The following is a 13,600-nucleotide window of genomic DNA, read 5'->3' on the forward strand; positions in this document are numbered from 1 at the left end:
CTAAAATTTTAGTTTTTTTTTTGTTTACACTAGTAAACAAGTGATTGTTGCTGCCAAACTTTGGTACTAAAACAATGACAGAGACAACCATAAAATGCCAGTTGTCTCCTCAGCCCAGGGTCCAAGTGTTAGGCAGTAGAGAGGCAGGCTTTCAGCCTGAAAACTCCCGTTGGTGGGCACACTCGCACACGTGTCCACACACAAAGCATCTAGACAAGTTTCTATCTACGTGGATGAGGTAGAGTTGGGGCAGCAATGTTTTTCCATGCGTGTTTACTAAATGATTTAGTTCCATGTGCTGTTTTGGTTAATGCAATTATTTTACTTTTATTTAGGGAGGAGGAAGAAAAATCCCCGTGTAAAAATGTAGCTGCTGTATACATTTTTAAGTATCCTTGGGTTAAGTTTCCTCACCAACATTTCACACAGTTATATAGCATCTAGGTAACTAGTATACATGTTCAAATAAATATACGTATGTAAGAAATAGCTATTTATGAGACACATAAAAGAATGTCTTATTTGAGATTGTGGCCAGAAACAACCATAAACATATCGATGATGTTGTTTGGAGGTACAAGACCTAATCCTTTCACTTTTGAAATAAAGACAAAAGACAACATAATTATGTTTGTTGACATAACTTGAACCCTGAAACCCAAACCATCTTGTTTTAAAATCCTTAATTTACCATACTCAGCAAAACACCCCAGAGTAACGTGCATTTTCAGAGTGCCAAACAACTCTCCCCTTCCACACAGAATATATGCATTTAGTGCTGTATTTATCATGTGTAGGTTTCTTGGCAAGAAGAAAAGCTATTCAGCAAAACATAAAAAAGCTCTTAGTAGGAAAGCTATCCATTTTGTAGTTAGCAGGGTTTTGCAAATACTAAAATATCACATGGAAGGTCTGTTTTAATAAGGCTGATGCATGAGACCCAGGGAGTTTTATAGCGACAACCATAATTTTTTTTTTTTTTGTGAGGTAGTCACATTTCTCTCAGTGTTCAAAAGCGTGGATAGATACGTAAATACAGGAAACACCATGTCAACCATAATTTTGACTTAAGGTCAGGACTGTTTTATCATTCCAAAATTTGTTCTGTAAAGACATTTCCGTTATTTGAAGGCTGTTTCACTTCCTAGACAGCTCTGGAGTTTTCCCGTTCGTTTTGTCACAGACTCGAGCCTTCAGAAAACCAAGCCTTTCATCTGTGCAACCTCACCCTTCTCATTCTTCAAAAGCATGTGTTGAGAACGGGAACTCTGAAAACATAAGAACCTACTCTGGGATTAAAACGCAAATCTAACCCTTAATAAGCACAGATGGAAGGTCTTTCTGCAAGGAGGTAAAGTTGTTTCCCGAAAACACATCAGTTACTTTTTTCCAGAAAAGAACTTCGAGCAAACCAGAATTATTCTTTTTCCCTGAAAACATGGGGAAGGGAGAAACGATAGGCCAATATAACATTTCTCTATTTTGTTATTTTTTCATTTTTAAAATAAACTGTTGAAATTGTGAGTCACTATATATTTTCTTTTCTTTCTTTCTTTTCTTTTTTTTTTTTTTTGAGACAGAGTCTTGCTCTGTCGCCCAGGCTGGAGTGCAGTGGTGCGATGTCGGCTTACTGCAAACTGCGCCTCCCGGGTTCAGACGATTCTCCTGCCTCGGCTTCCCTTGTAGCTGGGATCACAGCCGCATGCCACCACGCCCGGCTAATTTTTGTATTTTTAGTATGACATGATTTCACCACGTTGGCCAGGCTGGTCTTGAACTCCTGACCTCAGGTGATCCGCCTGCCTCGGCCTACCAAAGTGTCAATATATATTTTCTTAAGCCAACTCTCTTAGTTTTTAGCTTCTGCCACTCCGCACCTGGACAGGCCTTCCCAGGGCATAGTCATTGCCACCCTGAGGAAAAAAGGAAATGGTCCTGTCCCAAATGGCTGGCTTACCTGTTGCCAGTTTATTTAAACTTTTTAAGGATTAACAGGAATGACTCGAAAGAAGAATATTTAGTTTTATTATTTTTCTTAAATGAAATCCTGTAATAAACTTTTCAGGGAGGCGAATGTCCGTCTGGGAGATCTGTTGAGAAAGTGCCAGGCTTGGGAAGTGGGTGTTAAGTAGAGGGTAGGGAGGATTCCTCTAATAGGATTCTCTCTGTTGCTCTGTTTGCATAATATTGGAAGGAAACATTCCATGAATAATGTAAAACATAGAACTGTGAGAGCCGTTTTAGGGACAAGATGACTTAGCAGGCCAGAAGTGTAACTTATTCTGAATAAGAAAGCAACTCGCTCTTCTTAACAAATTGGAAGAACTGGCTCAGAGGAGTGCGATAAATCACTTCACCCCTCCACGACCCCTTGGTCCCAAGTAAAAGCTGATGGCCTAGATGCTAATCTGGAACTGCAACTCCCAGAACTTCTCCATTAAGCAGCTGGCTGGGTTGTCCTGTTGCGTGAGGTGGCACCGTCAGGATGGCCACTTTGCAGATAATCATGTTGTCTCTCCTCTGATGGAGAGCCACAGGCTCCCAGCGACACCTGCAGCAAGACACACCTAAAAATAACAAGGGGGTGGCTCGGGACAAGACACACCATGAGCCTCCTTTTGTTATCTTGAGTTACCCTCTCTCCTTCCGGCAGGGTCAAGAAGGAATTCTCCAGACCTACCCAAGATCCTTCGCCACCCAAGGACGGTTTCCCACATGCTTTGAGTTTCTTCTCAGGCTGGGCACTGGGACTCCCCTTGGTGGTGGAGGAAGTCCTACCACTGCCCCTGGGCCTCCCCTGAACAATGCTGGGGTTCACCGACTCACTGTCCTTGTCTGCCACCCTCAGCACTATTGATTATAGCTCTAAAAATAGGATCCACCCACCACTGCTCAGAAGGCTGCTCTGCTAGTCATTTCTAGAACATTCTGTGCCACTGTCCATCTTAAGGTGGGTGGGGGCCCAGGTGTTGAGACTCTATCATATCCTCTCCTGGTGCTTATGTTTGAGAGAACATTCGAAAGATTCTCAAGTTCGGGAATTTGGGCCTCCAGGGACCTCTGTGTAAAAATTGTAACTATGATGGGTATTTTCCTGGGGCCATCCATTCCTGCAAAGTGACATGGATGTGCTGTCCTCTGTGGGCTGTGTCTGGAAATAGGTAGCGTCGGACTGTTGAGGCAGCAACCCCAGGACATAATCCCCATATAACGTGGCTCTCTGGAGCAGGCCCAGACCCTCCCGCAGGGCACGCACAGCCCCAGCCACACCCCTGGGCGGGAGCCACAGAATTAGCACAGTCATCTCGGACTGGGAGGGCCAGAGACTCATTGCTGGTAATGTGAGAGAGGCCTGGCAGCGCCTGAGGGGCACAGCTCAGAGTCGACGAAGAAAGGGCCTTTGTCTGAGTTCATGTCCTCCTCGGGCGCAGTGGCGCCCCTGCCGTGGACGGCTGGTCGGCCTCGGAGTGGACAACACTTCCACAGGGAGCACTATGTGGACAGGACAGCTGGCCTTCTGGCCACCCAGTCCCCTCAGATCGCCAGCAAGGGAAGGACAGAGACCCTGGCCTGGGTCTGTTTCAAGCCCTCTTCTGTATGAAGGATGCTGCCCAGGCCAGCAGCGCCGCCCACCTCTGGTGCCCACCTTTTCCACCCTTTGCTTTCTGGTCCTTCCTGCTAAGGGTTCTCTTGGCTGCAAGCTCAAGCCTCAGTGCCATGGCCTTTTTAGACAGTGTGGGAGACAGTTCAGAGCTCTGAGCTCTGTTGAGAAAAGAAAACTGTTTCTGCGTTTGGCAAAGGTGTGGGTTGTCAGCAGAGATCAAAGTTCTGTTCCTGGCAGGGTGAGCACCTGTGACACACCTTGCCCCTCCCCCTGCGCCAATCCCAGAGAGGCGGTGGCATTTCTGACCCTTCCCTTCCACGGCAGGTGGAGCTCACGGGCAACAGTATTTATGAATACATCCATCCTTCTGACCACGATGAGATGACCGCTGTCCTCACGGCCCACCAGCCGCTGCACCACCACCTGCTCCAAGGTATTCCATCCAGAGGGAAAAAAAAAAACAGACTAAAAGCAAGGCGACATTCTTAAATGGAACTCAGGGCTTTGCTTCCCACATCTGCCAAGTGGCTGGGCATGACTAGGACTGCCCAGCCCAGGTCTCTCCAATACACACACAGCACCCACCACGTGGGGATTTGCATTGATACCTGTGTCTTTTAAGCCAATATTCATCAAGCTCCTATTGTTGGCCAGAACCCGTGTTGAGTGCTAGGTAGAGGACAAAAGTGGTGCAAGCCTGCTCCCCTCGTGCTCTTGGGTCAGAATTCCAGGGATTACAGCATCACGGGTCTAGACCAAGCTTCTCCTTAACCAAGATGCCGTGCCTAAAACTCGGGGGTCGGGGGTGGTCCATGACATTTCATGGGGAAAATTACATATGTGTTTCCTCCAGTTGAAATTTGGCATTTCCTTTGCTTCTGATGATAGATGATAAACCATCTTGGGGTCCCTAGTACCTGTGGCTTTGCCAACAATAGAAATCACAGATGTTTTCCATATCATAGGAAAGTTTTGCAGGTTTAAACATATCGCTTATGCCCACATGCCTACTTCAAAATTTCAGGAGTTCTAAGACCTGCTACTGAATCTTCTTATTTATGTATTAATAAAGCAGCACATTTATATCCGTATCACTGTGTTGAAATATTTTGATAATTATTTTCCAATACAGTTGCTTTTTTGGTAATCTTATATATTTTATTTTATGTATTTAAAAATGTTACTCCAAGTAGGGATCTGTAGGTTTTGTGCTGTGGCACAAATCATTAAGAAGCCCTGGTCATTACACAAATGACTCCTTAAATTTCAATTGTGATGAGTGCTAGGAAGATACAGAAGGACTTATTCCAGGGGCCCTGGCCTTTTAACTCCCTCCAACCATCCAGTGAGGCCAACAGGCCTCTTGACAAATGGGTCTTATGTGTGCTTTGGACTATGGCACCCAGCTTGGCCAGAATACCCCAGTGGAACAAAATGCAAAAGAAGAGGCTTTAAGGGTGATGAGAATGGGGTAGCTGGCTGCAGGAAAAACATGAGTTGCATTCTTATTGCTGTCTTCTGGGGGTTGGTGGGGAGAGGTCATTCTCGGGCTGGGAAGAGAGAATACAAAATAGCACACACAGTTGTAAAATCCCTTGCAGACAGTTCTGTGGCCCGCAAGTTCCAGCTCCAGAAATAGTCACTGGAGTCTAATTATTCCTTACCAAGGAGAGAGCCTGGCATGTTGGTTTCTGAAATGAGATGGGGCACCTAGTTGTAGCTAAGGTCTGATTCTTGGATATGATATGTCTGCAGACATCAACATGAATCATGGCTCTGAAGAGGTAATTTCTAAAAAATGAGGGCTAGGCTAGAACATCGCACCTGAATCGAATTCTTTCACTGTGGGGTTGTTTAAAGCTGGACAAAGACAACAGGTGTCAGAGAATTGCAGAACATAGTGCTGTTACTGTTTTTGAAAATTGCACAGTACGGTTTTTTGTTTTGTTTTGTTTTTTGGAGTTGGAGTTTCATTCTTGTTACCCAGGCAAGGAGTGCAGTGGTGTGATCTCGGCTCACTGCAACCTCCACCACCTGGGTTCAAGCGATTCTCCTGCCTCAGCCCTCCCAAGTAGCTGGGATTACAGGTGCCTGCCACCACGCCTGGCTAATTTTTTTGTATTTTTATTAGAGACAGGGTTTTGCCATGCTGGTCAGACTGGTCTCGAACCTCAGGCGATCTGCCCACCTCAGCCTCCCAAAGTGCTGGGATTACAGGCGTGAGCCACCGTGCCTGGCCTGAAAATTGCACAGTATGTTAACTGTATGGGACTGGGCTTTCTCCCCCTACCCCCGGTTTCATTTTACCCTGCCTGGGTCATAACCTCCCAAAGAGGGATTATAAATGAGAGCAAATGAGTCTTGGGAATATCATGAGACCCTTTCATGCCCTGTTTCTGTAGCCTTTGAGTCTGAAGCAACAAGGGCTGGAAGCATTGAGGCCGCACCTGACTCATTTCCACAGCCGGCCGAGGGGTGCAGGGGTTGAGATTCCCAAGTGCTCGATTTTCTCCCCAGCTGCTCCATTTTCTCCCCAGCTGCTCCCTTGCTGACTTTCCGTGTCTGAAATGACCCCCGTTGTTTTATGATAAACCTGTGAGAAATGGGCTCTCCCCAGAACTTGGTAATTGATGACCAGTTGATGTATTTTTAGACCTGAGCTTCCACCCACCGTGCTTGTCTGGAAATGGCTGGGGCAGGCAGCCATGTTAGAGGGAAGCTTTTTGCCCAAAGACACCATCTGCAGGGGGAATTGTGGGTAAAATATGGCAGCCTCTCCAACTGGGGCAGGGGGTGCCCTCTGAGGTGATTCCTGAGCTTCCACAGGGCAGTGACCTCAGGGAGGGTGGAAGACTTTGCTTCCATTCCTAGTGGTAACCTTCCTTTAAAAATTCATGTATTAACCTCCACCAAAGGGCTGTTTATTTAGAGTGGAGTGACCTCGCCCTCCCTTAGAGGTCCTTCTCTATTTGTGTCTTAGAGTGCTGGTGTCCCTTCCTGAAACAGAGGGTGTTTCCTTAGGGGACACATTTGCATTGACAATAGTGAGGTCAGAGATTTGCGTGGGAGGCCTGCAAAAGCAAAGTGAGTGAGTGGGAAGGGCAGAGCCCTGGAGAGACAGAGACGGGGTGGTCCTTCTGGGGCTAGAAATGAGGGTGAAAGCATGGATCTGCCAAGCCTTGGGTCACACACACTCAAGTCCTGCTACCCTGAGGGAGGTCAGAGGCTTCTGGGCCTTCCTGGAGCCCACGGCCCCCAGGAGCGGGCGACGGCAGGTGGAGCTCTGCAGGGCCCATCAGGGGCCTCAGGGGTGGCCTCGTTTGGCTGCCTTCCTTTAGAGCCAAGGAAGCCACACCAGGACTGGGCTGGTGTCTCCACTGCCCCACCCAGATCTCAGCCAAGGCCGAAGATCTCTGAGCAGGGTCTGGGCACACTGAGAAGGCCTCTGGGTGCTGCATCTGGCCCTGGGAACACATTGGTGCGGTTGGAATAAGGATGGGGGAAGCACGGAGGGACAGCTGCCAACCTCATCTTGCTCCTGCTTGCAGAGTATGAGATAGAGAGGTCGTTCTTTCTTCGAATGAAATGTGTCTTGGCGAAAAGGAACGCGGGCCTGACCTGCAGCGGATACAAGGTACGGGGAGTCATGGGTGCGGGGAGGAGCTGGCTAAGGGTCTTCAATGTGTGTTTTCAAGAGCGTCTGCAGAAAGGAAGGCACGGGAGCACAAACTCGTCATCCCCACTAATGTAGAGCTCTCCAGCAACGTGGTGCACAGTCTCTTGGAGGCTCATGTGAGAGCTGGTGTTTTAGGAGGATGTTCCAGCTGGCTGGAATTCATCGCATAAGACCCGGAATCAGTGTGGCTTAGGGCAGATTTTATTAATACCTTGGCACTTTCCATGTGGACCAGTCCCAGTGGAGCCACCGCCTCTGGAGTTTATAGAGGCCCATCCTCCTGGGCACAGTGCAGCTGGCAGTGGTATCCAGAGCACGGACACTGCCCTTCCCCTTGGGATGCTCCACCAAGTTCCCTGCCGCCGATGACGGTGTGCACCACAATAATGCTAGCGCCCTTTCCAAGGTCCAAGGCAGAGCTTTCATCTGCGGCACCACACCTGGGCCACTCCCTCAAGCATCTCAGCTGCCCATTGGAATGAGCAGCACTGGCCCAGTTTTCTAGTCAAGGACCAGAGGAGGGACGGCAGAAGGGGCTTGGTGGCGGAGCTGGGACTCTGAGCCCAGCCCATGCTCCTCCCTGGCTCCACGTCTCTGCCAGACACCACCGCTTGTTCTTGTTAATTCCAGAATGGAGGAGTAGGTCATGTCTCAGGGCACGAGAGTCAGCCGCCCCCCAGGGAAAAGTGGGTCGGGGGAAGTCTGTGCTGAGTGCCCCCCGCCAACACTTTTGTCCCCTCTCTGGGCTCCTTACCCTCCTCCCAGGCATCTTCACTGCCATCTCTCCAACCTCAGAGGACAGACATCATAACCCATCAATATGAGGCTGAAAGCTGCCAGAAACTTTCTTCCAGGAGGATTTGTCTCTTAGAAAAGAAGGGAGGAGGATGGGGTGAGAGGAAAGGGCACTTTTGTGCCTTTGTCCTCTCTTTCTGGAAGGCCCCGCCCCAGCTCCCCTCTTTGACCCCACTCTGAGCTCCTCCTTTGACCTATATCTCACTGTGCTGTTACAGTTCGGGGGACATGTTTCTTCCTTTTTGTCCCAGATACTAAGCCTCTTTGGGCCACGGTGGGGCCCCAGGAGCCAACAGACATTCTTCAGGGCACTTGGGTCTTTTTGTTAAGGGACAGGGTCTTGCTCTGTCACCCAGGCTGGAGTCCAGTGGTGCAATCACAGCTCACTGGAGCCTCAAACTCCTGGGCTCAAATGATCCTCCCACCTCAGCCATCTGTGTAGCTGGGGCCACAGGCGCACGCCACCACACCCAGCTAATTTTTAAAATTTTTTGTGGAGATGGGGTCTTGCTGTGTTTCCAGGCTGGTCTTGAGTCCCTAGCCTCAGTCAATCCTCCTGCCTTGGCCTCCCAAAGTGTCAGGATTACAGACAGGAGCCACCGCGCCTGGATGGGACTTGGGTCTTGACTTTTTTTTGCCACTTATTAACTGTCCGCTGTCCAATCTTAAGCAATACACAACACCATCTTGTTCTTGGTTTCCTCATTAGTAAAATGGGAGAATAGACTGGAAGGATTTTAAGATTTGTTTTAGCCCTAAAGATGATGAATGCATTCAGAAATCCTGGAGAAAGAGTTTTGGAACAGAGAACTTAAGGCTAAGATTCTTCACTGTTGTCATGATGATATTGACCCTGTCAAGATTTCACAGACTGCAGCTTGAATAAATGCTTCCAGTAGTGACGCTCGAGGCTGTACAGATGTTTCTGTTTGACACCGAAACACTGCATTCTTGTCTGTATGGCTTTTGGCTATAGCAATTGGAAGGGCTTCTGTAGGGCCACTCTGGCTTATTATTATGAGGAAATAAAATCTTGAATTATAAATAAAGGAAATAAAAATACATTAAAAATGAAGACTTCAAAAAATTGTACTGGGGCAGGGCACAGTGATTCATGCCTGTAATTCCAGTACTTTGGAAGGCTAATGTGGGAGGATTGCTTGAGCCCAGGGGTTCGAGACCAGTCTGGGCAACATAATGAGACCTTGTCTCTACAAAAAATTTTTTAAAAAATTAGCCAGGCACGGTGGCACATGCCTGTGGTCCCAGCTACTCAGGAGGCTAAGGTGGGAGGATCACTTGAGCCTGGGAGGTCAAGGCTGCAGTGAGCCTGATTGCACTACTGCACTCCAGCCTGAATGACAGTGAGACCTTGTCTAAAAAAAAATCTACGGAAAGAATTGTTTATTTACTGGTACAGCGTGTCGAGTGATACAGATGCCAAGTTCAATCCCATTGGAAGGTGGTAAGCAGCATCGTCAGTGATGCAAGCACTGTGGAACAAATGGTTGGCCTCCCCCAGATGCCTTTATTGTGTTACCTACTCACAGCTTGGCAGTGAGCTCATATGTATATCTCCATCATATATGACAGGGCCCTAATTTGTAGTTACTTACAGTACAGTCAATTGGATAAGACAACCCTTATATTTTATTATGATATTTTTTGTTGTCTTGTGAGTTTGTTTTGTTACCCTGGCTGGAGTGCAGTGGCACAATCTCGGCTCACTGCAACCCCCGCCTCCAGGGCTCAAGTGATCCTCCCACCTCAGCCTCCCAAGTAGCTGGAGACTATAGGCATGCACCACCATGCCCGGATAATTTTTGTATTTTTTGTAGAGAAGGGGTTTCGCCATGTCACCAAGGCTGGTCTCGAACTCCTGGACTCAAGCAATCCCCCGACCTCGGCCTCCCAAAGTGCTGAGATGGCAAGACTGAGCCACTGCTTCCAGCTGTTATGTTGTTTCCTAAGAAGCACAGCTCTCCACTTCTCCTAAGCAATGAACCGGTGCCTGTCAGCACATTGGGCCGCACAGTGGAGTAGAGGCTGGGCTGGGAGATATTCTAGCATGTTTGAGAAAATGAGCCAGGAGGAGTGGGCTCCAGCCCAACCCCAGTGGCCAGTGGCTGACCCTGCCCTCTCCACTCCCAGGTCATCCACTGCAGTGGCTACTTGAAGATCAGGCAGTATATGCTGGACATGTCCCTGTACGACTCCTGCTACCAGATTGTGGGGCTGGTGGCCGTGGGCCAGTCGCTGCCACCCAGTGCCATCACCGAGATCAAGCTGTACAGTAACATGTTCATGTTCAGGGCCAGCCTTGACCTGAAGCTGATATTCCTGGATTCCAGGTGAGTTCGGCACCTGCCACAGTGGCTGTGGCCTTCTGGAAGACACCGGTGGTGGAAATGGGTCCCTGAAAGCTGCCATCTTGGCCAAATCATAACAAGGAATAAGTCATAATAGGAATGTGGATTAAGCAAAACCAATTTATGAACTGAAAGAACATATGTCAGCCTTAGGACTCAAGGGCTTGTTTTACTTTATTTACTTATTGATTTACTTATTTTATTTACTTATTGATTACTTATTTTATTTACTTATTGATTACTTGTTTTATTTTATTTACTTATTTGAATCACTAGAGTTTGAAATGAAAACATGGGCTGTGAGCACAGGTTGGGCTTTTTTGAAGGCCATGATGTCAGAGCTCTGCCTCCTGCGTCCAAGGAGGACTTTAGAACAAACAGAAAATTTCCACCCTGTGTGCGGTGTGTGGGGGGCCTTGGCACTCAGGCTGGTGTGAAGCCACCACAGGGCTGAGGCTGGGAGCAGAGACGCTATCTACCCTGGGGGATGCTCTTCCCACAGCTCATGGGTGCCCTGTCTACATCTGGGCTGGGAGGAGGGGATTGGATGAGGTCATTTCTCCTGGCCTTGGGGAGTACCTCTCTCCAGACCCGTGCTGGAGTGGCCTTCACTCTCCCCTAGAACCGGCTGCAGTCCCAGTTTTTTAACTGAGTCTGCAGTTAAAGTCTGAGTTTTTTAAAATTGAAGTGAATTTTAATTTTAATTAATTAATTTTTTTGAGACAGAGTTCCGCTCTTTTGCCCAGGCTGGAATGCAATGGTGCGATCTCAGCTCACTGCAACCTCTGCCTCACAGGTTCAAGCGATTCTGCCTCAGCCTCCCAAGTAGCTGGGATTCCAGGCACCCACCACCATGCCCAGTTAATTTTTGTATTTTTAGTAGAGATGCGGTTTCACTATGTTGGCCAGGCTGGTCTTGAACTCCTGACCTCAGGTGATCCGCCCGCCTCAGCCTCCCAAAGTGCTGGGATTCCAGGAGTGAACCACTGTGCCCAGCCTAAAACTGAATTGAATTTTTAAGTGACAAACGCTAACTGCGTTTGGTTTTCAGGGTTTTGTGGTGTTTGTGGGGTACATTGTGATGCTTTGACACATGTCCACTCTGTGGAACCATCAAACCCCTCCCAAGTCTTGAGGCCACGTGCTAGTCAGGCCTCTTCCATGTTCTTATTTGTAAAACAGCAGCGCAGCCTGCCCACTCACTGCTAGGAAAGATGAGATTAGATAATAGACGGAAGCATTGGAAACAGTGAAGCCTCTCTTACCTGCAAGGCCACTTTAGCTCTTGGCAGGTAGGTTCCTCAGCTGTGCAGTCGGGAATAAGCCATCAGAGACCCCGCTCCTGGCGTGGGGTGTGTGTGTGCGATGAGTCTTTGGCGGGGGGAGGAGAGATACATTTTGCTTTCTGTATGTCCAGAAGCCAGGATTTACTGTTTTCTTTTCTTTTTCACTTTTTAAAGTTGTGGTAAAATACACATCACATAAAATTGATCATTTTAACCATTTATTGATGTTCTATAGAGAAAAAACAGATCTTCCTGGTTAGGGGCAAGAGATAAAGACAGGAGTCAGTTTGGCTCCTTGTCGACACCCTTCAGGACCACTCAGAAGCAGGGTGAGTGTGTCAGGGTCACCAGCATCTTCCCAGAAACTCCAAGCAGACAGGAAACAGCGCTCTTTGGGGAAAGCTGCCAGCACCTCTGGGGACGGCCAAGAGCGACAAATGCCATTTTCCTGCCATGCAGAGGGAGGCGCTGCAGGGAGAGAAGGCAGCCAAGCTGCCCCAGCCAGGGTGGACCCCTCTGCTCCCTCTTTTCTGACTTGGGAGCCACTTCTGAGAGGTGGCTGGAAGGACATCAGCTGCCCAAAGTCATTATCAGAGACATCTAGGAGGATCCAACTGGTTTCCCCCTTGTTTCGTCTCCTAGTTTTCCTCTGGGCCTTCTAGGAAACCCCTGAGACTGATGAATTCTGGAGAACAGGAAAGAAGTGGTCTCCCCAGAGGAGAGACCTGAGGGCTTTTCAAGCCGTTCAATCCACATTGCCTGGAAAGGCAGCCAAGGGTAGAGGAGGTTGTGCCTAAAGGAGGCCTGGACAGGGCCTGGATGGGGCTTTGCAGCGCCAGAGGGGGCTCCCGCGTCTCAGGGTGTAGGGGCTGCACCCCTGGAGTGAACAGAAAAGAAGGCTGGTGGTCTTGAAGGAGACATCCTGCCTCTCCCAGATCTCTGGTTGTTCCTGCCATATCAGGAAACTTCTAGCAAAGCCTTGAGGCCTTTTCTGAGCTGCAGTCACATGGGAGGGGCTGAAAGGGGTCAGAAGAATGCTGCAGAGGCCTTCCCAGTCACCACAGTCAGTCTGTGACCAAGGGGATGGGGCCTGGGCTGGCCCAGCCCTGGGAGGACAGCAGAGTGGCCAAGCAGGGTGGGAGATGTCCCTTCTGAGTCCAAACCCCAGAAGCCAGACGAGGGCTTTGCCCGAAGTCCAGCGGCCCCAAGTCACAGGAGCGAGGGTGGTCGTGGGCCTGTCTGGCGCCACACCCCGCACAATCCCAGACACAACTGAACTCGCCGTAACCTGAAATTGGGTTTGTCAGGGTTTTGTGGTATTTCTCTTTGAAACTGGAGCTGATGCTTTTGCTAAGGATGGGTGAACACAGCGATGTTTGGGGTTTGGCAGATTCCTCTGACAGGTCTTCAGACACTAGAGGCTTGGAAAAAACCGGGAGGGCACCTTGCCAAACCCCTCCATTTCCCTTTAATTTTTAAAGCCAGTGTGTACTTTGATGAGAAACTTAATACATGTGTTTCTGATTCATTTACACGTTTGGGGCCGTTGTTCTGTAACTTTGCATCCAAAGGGTCTGGGAAGCCTCTTTCATCCCCACACGGTAGAGATGCCTGGTTTTCTTTTTGGGGGAAAACAGACGGCTCAATTTTCCTGCCACACAGAGTTAGATTCTGATGGGGCTTGAAGTTCTAGGTGGCCCTTAGGCAAGTTCCCTGAGCCCCGAATGGCTCTGGGCTCTACAAGGCCCCCTCCCCGCATCCCTCTCCCCCACCACTGCAAGCCCTGTCTCCTTCCTACCCTAGAAGGACACCATGGAAATGAGTACACCAAACAGGGAACAATTCCAGGGAAACATGAGGCTCTCCGAGA

General features: G+C 48.8%; 1 protein-coding gene across 6 annotated transcripts in view, besides 1 other annotated feature; it reads left to right on the top strand.

Moving 5' to 3' along the window:
* Positions 1–13,600, top strand: part of SIM2 (SIM bHLH transcription factor 2) — a 50,803-nt gene that overhangs the window by 16,778 nt on the left and 20,425 nt on the right. For all 6 annotated transcript variants that reach the window (NM_005069.6, NM_009586.5, XM_047440953.1 and 3 more), the window contains 3 exons: positions 3,929–4,037; positions 7,153–7,238; positions 10,227–10,426. In NM_005069.6, the coding sequence (NP_005060.1) occupies positions 3,929–4,037; positions 7,153–7,238; positions 10,227–10,426 (395 nt within the window). The remainder of the gene's footprint in view (positions 1–3,928; positions 4,038–7,152; positions 7,239–10,226; positions 10,427–13,600) is intronic.
* Positions 3,620–4,406: an enhancer, noted in NCBI's record as "H3K4me1 hESC enhancer chr21:38091813-38092599 (GRCh37/hg19 assembly coordinates)". NCBI's record gives its function as "activates a minimal SCP1, AML or CMV promoter by ChIP-STARR-seq in naive H9 embryonic stem cells {active_cell/tissue: H9 hESC(naive)}" and the evidence as "EXISTENCE:reporter gene assay evidence [ECO:0000049][PMID:30033119]".

Source organism: Homo sapiens, chromosome 21 (genome assembly GCF_000001405.40).
Source record: "Homo sapiens chromosome 21, GRCh38.p14 Primary Assembly".
In the NCBI taxonomy this organism is placed as follows: Eukaryota; Metazoa; Chordata; class Mammalia; order Primates; family Hominidae; genus Homo; species Homo sapiens.